The following is a 16772-nucleotide window of genomic DNA, read 5'->3' on the forward strand; positions in this document are numbered from 1 at the left end:
TAACAACTGGTCATCTATGAAGATAAGTTGAAATGTTTCAGAATATTTTATTTAATACAATACAGTCTTTCCAATGGCAGAGTGAAAATGTCCTCTGATATTTTAACAGGGCACTGAAGATGCACATTTGGATTATATTTGAGGCTTTAATGATGTCAGACTTTAGGCATGGGTAAAAAGTTCTACAGTGTTCAACTGTGGTATTATTATTAATATTTTTTGAGATGGAGACTTGCTCTGTCACCCAGGCTGGAGTGGAATGGCACGATCTCTGCTCACTGCAACCTCCACCTCCTGGATTTAAGCAATTCTCCTGCCTCAGCCTCCTGAGTAGCTGGGATTACAGGCGAACACCACCAAGCCCAGCTAATTTTTGTATTTTCAGTAGAGATGGGGTTTCACCATGTTGGCCAGGCTGGTCTCGAACTCCTGACCTCAGGTGATCCACACGTAGTATTATTGACCGACTTAATTGAATCCTTGATTTACTTCAACCTTAACTTGCTTTTAAAAATGTCACTAATTTTAATACTTGATCATTCAAGACTGTGATAGTCTCTGCTTCCTGCCCCTTCTCCTTTACCTGGGCTGTATCCATTCCTCTGTGTGCATTTTGTCATTTATCAGCAACATTCATGCAAGTGCATGGGGAGGGACACATCACCAGACACACTTATCAACATGGAACATGTCTGATTGTGTTATTGTGACATCTCTGTCGCATGCTATTCTTGAGTCTTGAGGGCTTGAGGAGAATTGGAGTTGCTCAAGCTTTCTTTGCCTAAACATGGCTCTTCAACTTGTCTGTGGCTACTTGATGTTGGAGCATGCGAGGGATCAGGAAGGGGGCTTCATCTGGAAGGAACTTACAGATTGCCTCTCCTCAGGAAACACCTAGCCTACATGGAGGTTTTACTAGTTTTTCTTGATCTGGCTAGATATGGGCAGAAGGGTCCTTTAGACAGCCACTACCTAAAATTAAGTCTTATTCCTTTGACTTCTTTCCTTTACTAGCTTTTTGAAATTTAATAGCTTTTTATTGAGAAAAAAAAGAAAGAAAGGATTGTGAAATACACTTTACTATATACTCTATTTTGTAGTTGATGTTATAAATTTTCTTCTCCGAGTCTCCCAAGCCATTAGCTTTTTAGGGTTCAAACTCCACTTTCTCTCTCTAAAAGTCTGACTTTAACATAGGAAACTTCAGCTTTCAAAACGATTTCCCCAGCTCTGAATTTTAAAAACTCCATTCAGAGCCTCATTCCTGGCTCTTAGCTCTTATTGCTAGGAGGGCTCTTATTTGCCCTCTTAGCAAAGCTTTTGAATCTACAGGGCAACCTGAAGATTAAGGGGAAGATAAACCTCATTCATTTTCCCAGAATTTTATCTCTTCACATGTAAAAGGGGCACAGGGTCATGAAATAGCCTGACATGGGGCAGGGATGGCTTTCTCCAACAGGGACATTAGTACCTCTTGGGCTTCCAGAAATGCACTACAAAGCATGGAGAGGAAAGAATAAAGGCAATAAAAGAAATGAGCAATCAATTTTTATCACCTGGTTAAGTAATCTAAACTTTTTAAGCACATACTTTATAGGTACATGTATGTATAGTAAAAAGTTTTCTTCAAATTTCAAGGTGACACTCATGATTAAAATATTAAGCTTGAGGTGGACTATTTAAGCCTCTCCCTCCAGCCCCTGAAGGTACCTGCTGGTGCTTTTCTGCTATTAGGTGTACATAGTGGATGTCTTGCAAAAAAACTGGATAAGGAAATTGTTTTAAACTGCTTGGCTGTGTATTAAGACTTAATTCGCTGCTCCCTCTTGAATTAAATCCTCTAGTTTATCAAATGGCTAAAGCCCAATCTGTCTAAAAGAGGGAGCTGGCTGTGCTACAAGAATTTATGTTTCCATCCTCCCAAGTCCCATCTGTGCCCCGGATGTCACCTGGAGAGATGGTGTTTGGAAGAGCAAGGCAGGGACAGGCCAAGGACAAAACGTGGATGAGTCAAGCAGGAGCCATCAGCAGGGAGCAAGCCCTCTTCCTTGTCTTCTAACATTGTTCCAGAAAATGGGGGGGTGTTGATTTTAACTTTCCTTCTTTCTGCTTTTGGAGGGTGCTTTGTGAGATTGCCAAAGCTGTCTGAGACCTTTGGAAACTGCATGTTTACTTATCTCTGAGCTCTTTTGAGGTGGAACCCAGAGACATTTGATTCTCTCCCCAGGATTATATTTATGATTTTAAGGTTGTTTCTAATGGGCCATGATTGAGAAAAAACAGAAAAAAATAATTTTTTCATGGAGTTCCCTTCCCCCTACCCAATACACACACACATGCACAAACACTGCAAATGGGAAAAATGTTCGAAATAGCGGCAGACTCTAATTACCCAGGTTGGAAGAGGGCCAGGATATTGGTCAGTGGATTCTCTCTCTTCTCCCCCCGCCCCCTCCCCCAGTTTCTTTTCTTCTCCCTTCTGTCATCTTTCTCCAACCATCAGGTGGGTGGGTGGGTTGCTGGCTGGCTGCTGCTTGGCAAACAGAAATAGTTTAGGAGCAAGTGTTCTTGGGGTATGTTCACTGAAGGATGAACCAGAGCAACAAAGAATGATTTTTCTCTCGACATTCAGCCAATTTACATCCAAGGAGAGCAGGTGGGGAGATGTGATGCATAAAGGACGCAGAAATTTAAATCTGAGTGAGTGATAGTAAGACTTTCCAAAGTGAAGAGTTGGAATGTAGAAATTAAATAATCTTGGAGAAATATAAGCAGGATGGGAAGTGTTTGACCCAAAGAGCAATAGAGGATGCACATATCTATCTCTGCAGACAATAAATAAGTCCATTCTGATGGATGCAGGAATGAATGTGGATGCTTCAAAAGAAAATGAATTCCACTGTGAGACGGGCAAGAGGGTAATTAAAACCCATGAAGTTGAAGACACCAGAAGTTGAGCAACTAAAGTGGGCCAGGTGTGTTTAATTAAGTGGTTATTTCTTGTTCGGTGATAAGTCCTTATGTTAGCAACATCACATTGTGTGTACAAAAAAATTTCGGTTCGCAGATTAATTCAGTCATCAAAGATACTCCAAGTGAGTGTTACGATTTGTAATATGGATTTCAAAGCTGCAGTCTGTTGATGTTCAGACAGTTTAAGAGGATTTGCTCAATAAGCAGAGATTTGTCTTGCAACAAGACTGTCTGGGCCACCTACAGAAGAAAGCAAGTTACACTCCTCAGATTTGCCTTTGAAGAATTCTAGCAACTGGCTGTCTCACACCTACCCTTGCACATGCGTTGCTGGTTTCGTTCAGCTACATGATCCCTTTGCTGTAACTAGGATGGTCTCCTCACCACCACCGGCACCAGTCTGCCTGATTCTGGTCAGTGTATCTTGGCTGATGGTTTTTCTCTTTTTCTTCAATCTTGGCCAACGTGCGTACATAATTTTTCTCTGGGCTTCTCTTTTGGAGAAGCCTATAAAACATTTCCATTCTGGGATGACAGAAACTCCTGCTTGGGAGGGAGAGATCTCAAAGATTATCTACTGGAATGCACTATGCATTACACAGTGCAGCGAAAGGGCACAGCCTTCGAAGCGTGAGCTCCACTCACTACATTAGCTATATAGTTTAGGCATTTCATTGAGTCATAAATAGTCACTATCTCATTTATTCCTCACTAGCAATCCAATAGGAGAAAAATAAAGCACAGAAAGATTAAATAACTTGCCGGGGTTCTGTAAAGTAAGTAATTGATCCGGAATTATAACCAAAATCTATCTGACTCCCACGCCCAATGCCTGCTGTTCCTCTTGTCATTTTGGCTTTGGGCAAGTTATTTTCATTCTCATTACCTTCTGGGCCACATTCATCAAATGTAGATGAGGATTAGAGACTATGCACATTAAACACCTAGTACAATGCCTGACAGTATGAGGTGTTTCCTAAATGCTCATTAGATTGTTCTTAGTTTTCATGTGTCTAGTTCACTTTTTTAGTTTGGTGTGTGGGCTGGCAGCATCAGCTTCACCTGAAACCTTGTTAGAAACACAGGAACTTTGGCTGGCCCCAGACCCACAGAATCAGAATCTGCATTTTAACCAGATGCCCAGGTGAGATCTGTAGGCACTTTAAAGTTTGAGAAACACTGGGCTGGCCTATGCGTCTGTATCCACTAAAAATGAAATTTGCTACCTTTTTTTCTTTACTCTTTATTTAGAAATAATTTCACACTTACTGAACTATGTCAGTAGTACAAAGAATCCTGGTTTCTTTAGTGGAGAATGGTATTTATAATTTAAAAGACATGTGCCAGGTGTGCCCAAAACCATAGGATTCATTCCAGCTTCCCCTCTTTCTGTAGCTCCCTTCTCTGATGGTGAAAAACTGTCTCCATTACCCTCATAATGTATATGCATTTGTTCACTCCATTCGTGGGGTACCGATTTTTCTGATCTGCTTATCTTCCCATTTGACCACCTGCCTTGTGAGGGTCCCTCCCTCGCCTGCCAGCTCACCATTCTCTACCTGGCAGCCTGTTTGTTCCTTCTTAAAGCAGCTTCTTCTAGCCCAGAACAGCACGTACCAAGAAAAGATTCTTTCTTACATTGAACTAAAGCCATCCTCCTGTAGCTTCCTCTCCCTGCTCCTCCTCCATAGGAGTCTGAAGCGTAAGTGTGCTTCGATGTAGTGTGATGTGGTTGCAGAGAGTATGGCCTGGGGCGTGGAGACATTGCTCTATACTTGGTTCCTTTGAGAATTGCTCAAGTTATTTAATCTCCTCTTGCCTTCGTTTCCTGCAAAACTAGAGATAACATGTCTACAGACGGCCCCCAACTTAGGGTTTGTCGTGAGATTTCTCCACTTTACTATGGTGCGAAATTGAGATGAATTCAGTAGAAACTATACTTTGAATTGTGAATCTTGACCTTTTGCTCAGTTAGCAATATGGGGTATAATATCCTCTCATGACACAGGGCAGTGGGAGTGAGCTTCAACTCCCAGTCAGCTAGGTGATCACGAGCATAAATAACTGACACTCTACCATGTCTGCGATACCAGTGTTTTTTGTGATATTGTCTTTTGTGTTTTTGAATCCCTTCATGTCTACATAACACCCATTTTCCACTTAAAATATTTTCGACTTAACAGTGAGTTTATGGGGATGTAACCACATCACAAGTCAAGAAGCATCTGTATTTGCAGGTAATTGGGGACAAAATGAGAAAAGAATATAAATGGCATGGCAGAATGCCTGGCCCATATTAAGGCCAAAATAAATGAGCTCATTTTTCTTTGCCTTCTTCATTGCTTCTTTCCTTCCCTTCCCTCTTCTTTTTGCTTTCCTCCTTTCCTTCCTTCCTTTAATAAAATATGTACTAAGTGCCTAATATGTGTTGCGTAGCAGTAAGCTAGACAGTCATGGTTCCTTCTCTCACGTATCTTACAGGATAGAGGATAAATAGGTATTTTTTTTAAAAAAAATTACATAAACTTGCAATTTGAAATTTTGAAAAGTATATATTCTAGGTCCTGGGATACAGAAGCAAGCTGAGAGAGAAGCTCTGCTTTTGTGGAGCTAATACTTTAGGGGATGAGAAAGATAATAAACAAGAAACAAACAAAGGCATTAGGTGATATCAGATGATAACCAGTGCCGTGAAGAAATGCAAGCAGAGACTGGAGCTCAGTGGGTGAGGAATGAATGGTGTAAGATGGGGCTGGAGAGACAGCTCCAGCTGGGTCATGGACAGCCTGGGAGGCAGAGTGGGCTGTATTGTGCCATGTCACCATAGACAAGAAGTGCAGTCTTTTCAGTGCTCTGTTTCCCTGCCTATAAAAGGGAGATAGGAATATTTGCCAAACTGACTTTGTAAAATTTGTTGTAAATATCAGCCAAAATGAAATATGAGAATTTTGTAAAGCACAACATGATTTTTGTTGTCATATCTAGTAGGCATTTGATAAAACTCTTCGTGGGTAAAGAGAGATGAACAAAAGAATAAGATAACAAAGGTGTAAAAGACGGCCAACTGTGCAGTCTTTCTTTGTCATTCCTAGAGGGAAAGAACGAGAGGCTCTTGGAAAAGGGCTACACATTTGAGATCACAAGAGAAAAAGCTTTTTTTTTTTTTCAAACAGAGACATAATGAATTTTTAGAGTACATTTTCAGGGAGGCAGGTAGACAGCATTTAAATGGCTTGACAGAAACACTTTCTTTAAAATGCAGAAGTAAAAAGGTTAACAATTTGAATCTATCTTGACATTTCCGAGTGTCAGCCCCAGGGCTATTTTCTTTCTTGCTTAGAATCATCATCTTTCATGTTTGTTTGAGATTGCTATTTCCTGGGCTGGACCATCCGCCCCGGAGTGGAGGCTGAGCATGCATGGAAGTGTGGAAGTGGGAACCGTGATTGGGCAGCATCCACACCCTCATGTGCTTTTCTCTCCTCTTCCTTTCACTTCCTCATCCTGTGTGATTGTGACCTGGTGGCCACACGGACCACTGTGGTCTTGGACTGGAGCCTATCCTTACATGTGCTACAAACATGCCTGCTACATGGAGCAGGTCCTGTGCGCCATTGACACCTAGATGGCCCTCCAGGGAGCTTGGAAACCAGCATATCTGGTAACCTTCAGGAATTGGGTTTGTCTTAGGCAAAACCAGGAAGAAGGCAAAGGTGTTTTTCCCAATTTTGTCTTTAAAAAAACAAAACCAAAAACCCAGGGCAATGCTGTATATCTTCCATTGGCTTCTCCTGACCCCCTCTCCATTCTCTTTTCCCAGTTCTGTGCCCCTGGAGGCTGACTTCTATGGACTACATCAACAGAGCTACCCTGACTCCTGGCTTCTAGTTGGTCTGCCTAATGGGTCCCTGACAGGAGATAGAAGGGAGAGAGGAGAGTAAGGTTAGAATACTTTAGCCTTGTGCCTTGGGCTGAAGGTCACTACTTCTCAGGAGGGGGTGATCTCCTTCTTCTGAAGGTTTGGGTGACCACCCCCTCCCTTGATCTCTTTTGGCCTAGGGATGATAAATAATTGTTGCTGCAGTTAGTTTCATGTTGTTGCACTATCCCTATAGTTCCTATACACCCACACTTTTATGAACTGTCCCTTTGGTAAATAAACAGTTTTCAAATCCTCCCTCCTATAGTTAAGTGTCCTGTCTGTTTGGGACCCCATTGAATACAGATGCTAGAGTTCCTGGCTGACAAAGCCTGTAAGCACAGCCTGTCCTTGGAGGAACCCCAGCTTTGAGCGCACGTGAACAGTGTTTGAGTTCAGTTTTGTGACATCCAAGTTTGTAACTGGGCAAACTGCGTAATGTTTCTGGTCCCCAATTATAAAAATAGGATATCTCTTTATAGAGTTGTTTTAATGATTATGTAAAATGCTCACAAGTAGAAGAGCCTCAAACAGTGCTGGTTTCCCCTATTTTATCAATGCTCTTTTATCCAAGACAAAAGGCCAAATGGGATTAGGAAAGAGACAGACAAGCAAGCTGATGAAAAGTCAAGTTAGGCCAATGCCTAAAGATCTCTCAAGCCAGCTGCAGCAGCCTTTGTTTCTGTCTTTCCAGCAGGCCCCTCTGCAGTTGAGGGACTGAGGGTGGGTGTGTTTCTCGTCAGGGTGGGGACACGTTACGTCTGATTGGAGAAGTCCTTCTCAAACAGCCAATCAGAGCCAAGCTCAGCCACCACTGTTGTCACCCAGGCAGGGAAACGCTAGTCTCCTGGTGCTCAGCACGTGGCAGCCATGATTGGCTGCTATAATGAAAATACCACAGACGAGTGACTTAACCAACAAACCTGAATTGGTCACCATTCTCAAGGCTGTGTTGTCCTAGAGCAAGGCATGAGCAAATTTGATGTCTGGTCAGGCTCTGCTTCTTTATTCCTAGAAGGTCGTTTTCTCACTGCTTCCTCACATTGAGGGCAGGGGCCAGGCAGCTCCTTCAGGCCTCCTTTATAATGGCACCCATCCCATTCATGAGGGCTCTGCCCACATGACCTAATCACCTCCAAAGGCCCCAACTCCTAGCACCATCACTTTGGGGTGGAGGATTTCAGCATGTGAATTTTGGGGATACACAAACATTCAGTCTATCACAGAGGGTGACTGGTTTAGCCAATGGTGATACCGGAGAGTGACTGGGTTCGAAAATGCCCCTTAGACTTGGAATTGTGTTGAACTTCTCTCAGATGCCACATGTCTGTGGCCATGTTTTGCCTCACAGAAGATTTGCTTTTCATGGTCATCAAAAGTCTGCTTTTGAAGAGCAGAACCAAGGGATACTTGGGGTAGGGAGGGCAGCTGTAAGCCGCTTCCCCATAACCTCTATCTGCGACCCCATTCCAAATCAACACATGATTTAACAAAAAAACTGAACTCTTACACAAATTCGAGCCATATTTTTGTAGTCTCACCTAAGTATGCTGCCCCTAAGTCCTTCCCCCTGGGAAATTTTGGAGGCCTCCAGGGCTTCTCTCCGCTTTTCCTGAACCATCCCTGAATTCTCATGTCTTATACCAGTGCCCACCTTGAAAGTTCTCTGAGATCTCCAACTTTCTGAAATAACTGACAACTTTCTGAAATAACTTATTACTGGATGTCTGATACAGAGCAGATATTTTATTTTCTTTTTTCCTGTAAGCTTCCAGAAAGCTACATACAACCTGATTCATTTGGAAAGCTGGGGGCCATCTAACCATCTTCTCCTTCCCTCTTTTCTGAATAAGTCTGTCTCAAAAGAATTTGGAGACACTCCAAAAAATAGTTGTTTTCAATTTTTTTCCCTTCTCAACAAGCATACATTTTTGTTTTGTATAATGATTAGTGTTCACATGTATCAAACGCTACTAAGTGAATACATAGATTTATCATTTACATTGAATAAATGCATTCTGAGCATCTATGTGCTAGATTCTGTTTTAGGCACTGGGGGATATAGCAGGCAACAAGGCAGATAAGGGCCTTGACCTTTAGAAGCTTCTATTCCCAGAGATTAACGATCTCTTCCGCTAGTCAGCAATAAAGCAAAGCAAAGCAAAACAAAAACACACAGAAGTACAAAACAGGGTACCTCAGCCTTTTCTTGATGATTGGAGAAGGGACTTCAGTCATTGCAGTTGGTGACAGGACATGCAATAGGAACTTTGCATGTCCTGCCACCTCCCTAGGTATTTGTCTTTGGTGGTCGAGTGAGCAGAATCTGTTACACAGAAAAATGAGGATGCCCCACTGGTTTATGTTACAGCCTTATGGCATTTTTTTCTATTCCCTATTTACTTCTTAATACAGCATAATTTATGCACTTTTTTGATCGTGGCCATGCATTCAGCAAATGTCTTTATTGGGTGGTCCATAACAATGCCTGGATCTGTTTCCTGTGAGGTGGCTATAAATTTAGATTTATTGGTATGAGAGCATTCTGGTCTTCTCTCCAAAGTTCTTCTATTGAAATCTGAATGTGAAAGATTAACACATTTAATTAATAGACAAGACTCATTTGTTCCTAAGGCTGACTATTCAAATGGGAGATACTCATTTTATAAGATATAATTCTAATTGTGGGCTAGGAATTTTACTGATATTTCTTTATAATGTATATAAGCATGGTATGGCAATTTGAGATGTTATTATTCCTCAAAAGCAATTACATATGGAGGTATTTTTGAATGAATCAAATAGTCTCTGACTTTCTCTGCTTTTTGTTTTACACACATTTAACACATGTACATGCCTTAAATTATGACACATGTGTACACACACTCATACCCACACATGCACTCACACAATGCTGTTGACCCAAATTCAATAGAGTAGGTGATTTTTCCTACCCCTGCTAATAGATTTTTACTGATTTATCCATATCATTTTTTCTGGTAGCTGTAATCATCTCTTTTTGGAATATCTTTCCATCCTCTGTCTCCTTAGAGATTCTTTCCCTCCTTTAAAGCTTAGATCAAATCCCACTAGTAAACCCTGCTTTGATTGGCCCACTCTATTTTCTCCCTTGTTTTTGTTCACATGAGATTCACAGTCAATAACATACCACCTGAGATGGCAGTTACTATCTAACTGCTTCAGGTGAATTATGTTGTCCCAAAAAGATTAGGAATCCATGAAGAACTCTGATGAGATGGATCTGATAGTGCCTGGAATAGAGTAGGTCTCCAAAAATTTTAGTTGCTTCCAATATGAAATAGTAACTGTATTATTTCATTTTCCCACTGCTACGAAGAACTACCTGAGACTGGGTAATTTCTAAAGAAAAGAGGTTTAATTGATTCACAGTTTTGCATGGCTGGGGAGGCCTCAGGAAATTACAGTTGTGGTGGAAGGTGAAAGGGAGGCAAGGTACGTTTTACGTGACGGCAGGAGAGAGAGGGATGGAGAAAGTGCCACACATTTAAACTATCAGATCTCATGAGAACTCACTCACTATCACGAGAACAGCATGGGGGAACTGCCCCCATGATCCGATCACCTCCCACCAGGTCCCTCCCTCAACATGTGGGGATTAAAATTCAAGATGAGATTTGGGTGGGGAGACAGAGCCAAATCATATCAGTAACACTTTTTGTCGTTTTTATAAGCATTGACTAAAATTCTGGGGCTACAACTGATGTCAGTAAATATTTTTGTGGGTGATTCATTGCTAATTAAGTAAAGACAATAGCCTGTGATTAAATACTAGACTAAGAAAAATTGCAACATGTTTAGCACAAGGTAATTTTTTTCCTAGAACAGGAAGTTTTTCACCAACATAGTTTATATGAAACTACATGTGCAGGAGTAGCCTTTGGGGGTGTTTAGAAAAGATTTGTCTCTGAAGACTTCTTAAAAAGCTGGCTTACAGTCAACATTGCCTCTGGGTTGTCCTCTGCAGGGAGAAGCTGATGAATGCAAAGGGCTGGAGGAAGCAAGGGCTGGAAGCAAGTGAAAGGCGACAGGATTCCTCTGTCCTGGTGCAACAAGCCCATTTTTCTCAGTACCTAGAGTGGCGCCTGGCCCTAGTAGGGATGCGATAAATATTTATTAAATTAATATAGATATACTTTACCAAAGCTGATGTCAAGCAAGTTTTGTGATTTCTTAGACTATTGATCATAAATATTTATGCCATACAGTACTTCTGGAGGAAATTACATCTACAGAATGTGAAGTCCCAAGACAATCTTTGGATAACCAGTTTTTTGGTTTTGTGTTTTGGTGTTAAGCACTGACATGTTCTATAGATTACTTTACATGGTAAAATTACAATTTCAATACCAGTTAGGAACTTGAATAAAATGTGCCAGCGTCGGGACCTGTATATTTCTATCAGCTGGTGGATTCCTGTTTATTACTTACACAATTTACCGTTTTGTCTAGAGAAAAGGCTTACAATGCAGAGAAGCTTGTAACAGGTGTAGTGTACGTTCTTGTTTTTCCTAGTAGCAGATGGTGCTGAAAGAAGATCATCTCTGTGGGGCCATTACAGGATAATGCACAGAAATAAATAAGCACAATGATAGGTCTCAGCAAATGCAGCCAGGTCTTGGGGTCGGTCTAGCATTTGGAAGTGATACATATACACAGAGTGGGTTTATCTATCTGCTCAGCAAGGCCTATTTAAAACTCGATTTCTTTCCTTTTAATTTTCCTCCATATAAAATCCCCTCCCCTCCCCGGATAAATCAACCAATCTTCTCACTTGAATTATAGGTAGTATATTAAAAAGGATCTAAATAAAGGGAAGTTCTTTCTGACAGTGCTTTGTACTAAAAGGGAGGAGGTAATTTTCTTTGGAGTTCTTCCCCAGCCCCCAGCAATTTCTGTTTTTATATTAATGGATTTTATGGGACCTTGTCTTTGATCTTGCCCTCTTAAAAACCAAAGGAGGAATGGAAGGTTAATTCCAGCAATTCTACCCTAGTGTACCTCTGCTATTTTGCATGAAGAACACAAAATGAATATAATTGAGCCTAGAATTGTACTGAGGATATGATTATTTTCTTCTGTGCTAGGATAATTTTCATCTTTCCTGAAAAAAAAGAACCCCCATGGTTCTCAGTATATATATATTATATGAAAATATTGACTAAATAGTATATATACTGATATATATTATATATATATAAATTCAGTAGATGTACTCATATATTTCTCATATTTAAATATATGCTTAAAAACTTGACAATGCCAGGGCAGTATTTAGCAGGACCTAGGCTCAGCTTCTCTCTCCCCTTGTATAAATTTTATTTCTTATTATCCTAGCCTCAGCAGTATTTGAGGAATATTGTTCCCTTGGCCTAATGCAATTTTTTCCACATGATGTATTCTTGGTCTGTCCCTTATCTCCCCTTCACTTGCTGACACCAGTGTTTAGTCCATTTGGAACTAAAATGCATTGAAAGCAGATACATACTATTTTAACATTTTGCCTGATTCTTTAACGTAGCTGTGTTCATTAGCAACAAATTCTGTCTAGCAAGTTGGTTAAATGGCCTTCATCCCTTTTAAGAAAAAAAGGCAAGAATTTTGTCAAAGACGTCTTTGCCAAGTGTGGAGCCTAGATACAAGCTTCTCAAAAATATTAACATTTTCCAAAGCATCTGAGTGTGCATGTGTGTGCATGCACATGTGGCTTTATGTATATAATAATTATTCACAACTAGATTTATTTTTCTTATTTCTCAACATCCTAATTATTGACATTTCCTGAAATTTCATTGTGTATCTGAATCTAATACCTATGAAAGTTTTTCATTTCCTATATTTAAAAAAATTATTGTACTTAATACAAGCATTTAAAATGTAGCTTTTGTGTGGCCAAACTTTACATTAATGTAGGTGTTTGCCCCATGGTTACCCTCTGCAGTGCAAACTTCTGTGGGCCCCAGTGGGTTAATTTTTTGATTGCCTGCTCTACCTGCATCCTCGGAACTGAAAGAAGCTTTCGTGCATGAGAAAGAACAAAAACAGACTGTCTTTGTGATGTCACGTGCATCTGCCTCTAAATTTCAGTATGGAACATAAATGGCAACAAGAATTGAAAGAGAAAACAGAAGAGAGCTCTCTTAAACTGGGAATATTCCAATTTAAATCTTGAAATTAATTATCTCTTTAGGTTTTGCAATTTCTCAAACACTGGGTGCATGGCATGTATGGGTGGTGATGGGGTGTGTGGGGCAAAAGAAGATTCATAAGAATTGGCTAAATCTGAAAAAATCCTGTGTCATCTTCCTTCCCCCTACTCCCTCCAATTTGGCTAAATTGCCAAACAATAATCACTGGAGTATAAACAAAGTTAAGATAATAATTTTTTTTCAAGGACTTGTGTCAAACAGTAAGGAACACACAGAGAAGCAAAATTGTTGTAATGCTGATCATATAGACTAAGCTTATTAAATAAAAACAATACATTCTATAACAGAATCACATAGAAGAAAATCACTGCTTCAGTTGGACAACTCAATATGAATTCCTTTTATTGTTTACCATGTCTAATTAGTCTTAGCTCCATTTTATAGGCAATATTTAATTCTTGGTATTTTTAATTTATCTTTTTGTTAATATTATCATCTTACCTTGAGTACAATTATCTATTCCTGTCTAGTAGGAATAAATTTGCTCAGGGGTGACAACAGCAAGATAAGCATTGCTTAGAAACCATAATTTTTCTATTGTATTTGTCTAGTTAATAAAGAGAGGCATTTTATTTTTCCCTGGTGACCACTTGTACTTTGTTCAGTAATTAAGGAAGTAAGTCAGTGCTCCTAGATTTTCACCTATTCCATAACCTCTGCAGATTTGTCCAGGGTGCCAGAGGCAATTGTGTTATGTTGTTGGGTAGTTATGAAAAAGCCTGAGATGAAACCAGGGAGGGTTCTAATAGTAACACCTTAAACTAGTATCAATAATTTTCTCAGTATCAAATATATCAAATATATTCTGCCTGAGAGTAATCTGCAGGTTTCTTTTCAGCACTTATGTTTTAGATTTTTCAGAAACATCTCTTCAGCCTCAGTGAAATAAGTTAAAAAATGCATGTCATCCCTGTATATTTTCACGTATACATTTGCTTATAGGGGAAGCTGCACCTTTGCTGTTAAATGATGGTTTGAATCCTAGCTCTACTAGTAATTAGCTGCATGACCTTAAGCAAGTTACTTAACCTTCTTAAGCCCTTGTTTTCTCTTCTATAAATTGATACTAATGACATTACTTACCTCATGGTATTGGGGTGAGGGTTAAATGAGGCAATGCACGTAAGATACTTTCTATGGTGCTTAACACACAGTAAGTGTTTAATAAGCATTTTAATTATTACCATTGTTAAAGTGTATTTATATATAGACATATGGACTCTGCATTGCACTCTGAATTAATGATGCTGATTTTTGCACAAAGTTCATAAATTCATTCTACTTACATTCTTCTCACTCTATCAAAACAAAACAGTTACTAGCAATCGTCGTGAAGTGTGCTTTTTTGCCTTGTTTTTGCCTATGTTTGAAGTCTCCACACTGGTGTCCTCCCTTCCTGGAAGCTTCTCCTTACTCCACTCCCTCCAGCTGGTACCCTTTATTCTGCACAGCACAGAACTCTGAACCCACCTTGGTGAAGGCTCTGTCATTATAAGGACATCGCTGGTTTCCCTGTCTTTCTCTCCAGACGGTGAACATCATGTCTCGTTAATCTCAGCATTCCTGCTGCTTTGTGCAAATGTGGTTATAGTAAGAGACCAATAAAGGTTTCTTGAACAAATGAGTGTAAAATACCACTATTTATGTTATGCAAAGACTGATCTTCTTTCAGTGTTGTTGTCCTCTTTTATATTACTTTTAGCTGTAGTTTTGTTTTTTATTCAAATAATCTTCAGAACTTGTGGCACATCCTTTAAAAATTTTATGTCAAAGTGAAAGGCTTTTACACTGAAAATGACAAAATGTTGCTGAAATTTGAAATGAAAGAAGACACAATTAAATTGGAAGACATCTTGTGTTCATGGACTGGGAGACTTAATACTGTTAAGATGTTCATACTACCCAAAGCAATCTACAGATTCAAAGCAATCCTGATCAATACCGCAATGACATTTTTGCAGAAATAGTAAAAGTCATCGTAAAATTTCTATGGAATTTCAATGTACCCTGAATAGCCAAAACAATCTTGAAAAAAAGATGAAATTGAAGGTCTCACACTCTGTGAATTCAAAACATTGCAAAGCCACAATAGTAAAGAAAGTGTGGTAGTGGCATAAAGACAAATAATCCAATGGAACGGAGTAGAGAGCCCAGAAATAAACCCTCATGTATAAGATTAAAATAATCTTCAGTGAGGGTGCTGAGAGCACTCAGTGGGGAAAGCACAGTCTCTTCAACAAGTAATGTTGGAAAAACTGGATACCTACATGCCGTACATGTGAAAGAATGATGTTGAATCTTTATCTTATGCCATTTACAAAAATTCAATAAAGAATGGATTAAAAACCCAAATGTAAGCTCTAAAACTATGAAACTCCTAGAAGAAAATGTAGGAGTAATTTCACAATATTGGACTTGCGAGTAATTTCTTGACTATGACAACAAAGGCACAGGAAACAAAAGCAAAAATAAACAAACGGAATTACATTGAACTTAAAACTTTTGTGCATCAAAGGATACAATAACAGAGTAAAGAGGCAACCTACAAAATGGGGGAAATATTTACAAATCATATATGTAATGAGGGGTTAATGTCCGGCATATATAAGAACTTCTACAACTCAATAACAACAACAACAAAATATACAATCTAATTTAAAAATGTACAAAGGACTTGAGTGGACATTTCTCCAAAGATAATATACAAATGGCCAATAAGCACATGAAAAGATGCTTGACATCACTAATCATCAGAGAAATGCAAATCAAAACTAGGCAACATAGTGAGACCCTGTCTCTACAAAAAAATTAAAGAAATTAGCCAGGTGTGGTGGTGCATGCCTGTGGTTCCAGCTACTGGGATGGCTGAGATAGGAGGATGACTTGATCCCAGGAGGTCAAGGCTGCAGTGAGCCGTGATCACACCACTGCAGTCCACCCTGGGTGACAGAGCAAGACCTGTCTGTAAAACACACACACACACACACACACACACACACACACACACACCACAAAAAACAAACCACACCCCAGTAAGATATCACCTCACAGCCACTAATTGACTACTGTAAAAAAACAGAAAATATAAAGTGTTAATGAAGATGTGGAGACATTGGAACCATTGTAGACTGTTGGTAGGATTGCAAAATGGTGCAAACATTAGGGAAAATAGTATGAAGTTTCCTCAAAAAATTAAATTACCTTATGATCCAGCAATCCCACTTCTGTGTATCTCTCTAAAGGATATAAAATCAGTATGTTAAGAGATATCTGCATTCCCGTGTTCATTGTAGCATTATTTAAAATAGCCAAGAAGTGGAAGCAACTCTTTTTTTTCAGTTCTGTCATATATATGTATTTTTTCTTTCCAATTTTTGTTTCAAGTTTGAGGAGTACATATGCAGGTTTGTTATGAGTAAATTGCATGTCACAGGGGTTTGGGGTACAGATTATTTTGTCACTCAGGTAATAAGCATAGTACCTAATAGGTACAATCCTCACTCTCCTCCTACTCTCCACCATCAAGTAGGCTCCAGTGTCTATTGTTTCCTTCTTTGTGTCCGTGTTTAGCTCCCACTTATAAGTGAGAATATGCATTATTCGGTTTTCTGTTCATGTGTTAATTCACTTAG

General features: G+C 39.6%; 1 long non-coding RNA gene across 3 annotated transcripts in view; it reads left to right on the forward strand.

Moving 5' to 3' along the window:
* The window catches only part of LOC107986262 (uncharacterized), a 59101-nt gene that overhangs the window by 23519 nt on the left and 18810 nt on the right, over window positions 1-16772 (forward strand). The window contains exon 3 of one of the 3 annotated variants that reach the window (XR_001741599.2): window positions 2832-3393. The exons of 1 other annotated variant lie outside the window; for it this stretch is intronic. This is a non-coding gene — a long non-coding RNA (uncharacterized LOC107986262). Of the gene's footprint in view, window positions 1-2831; window positions 3394-16772 lie in introns of those variants that run through there. One more of the 3 variants, XR_001741600.2, reaches the window with a different exon arrangement.

The sequence above is a fragment of the Homo sapiens genome, chromosome 4, assembly GCF_000001405.40.
Source record: "Homo sapiens chromosome 4, GRCh38.p14 Primary Assembly".
NCBI classification, from domain to species: Eukaryota; Metazoa; Chordata; class Mammalia; order Primates; family Hominidae; genus Homo; species Homo sapiens.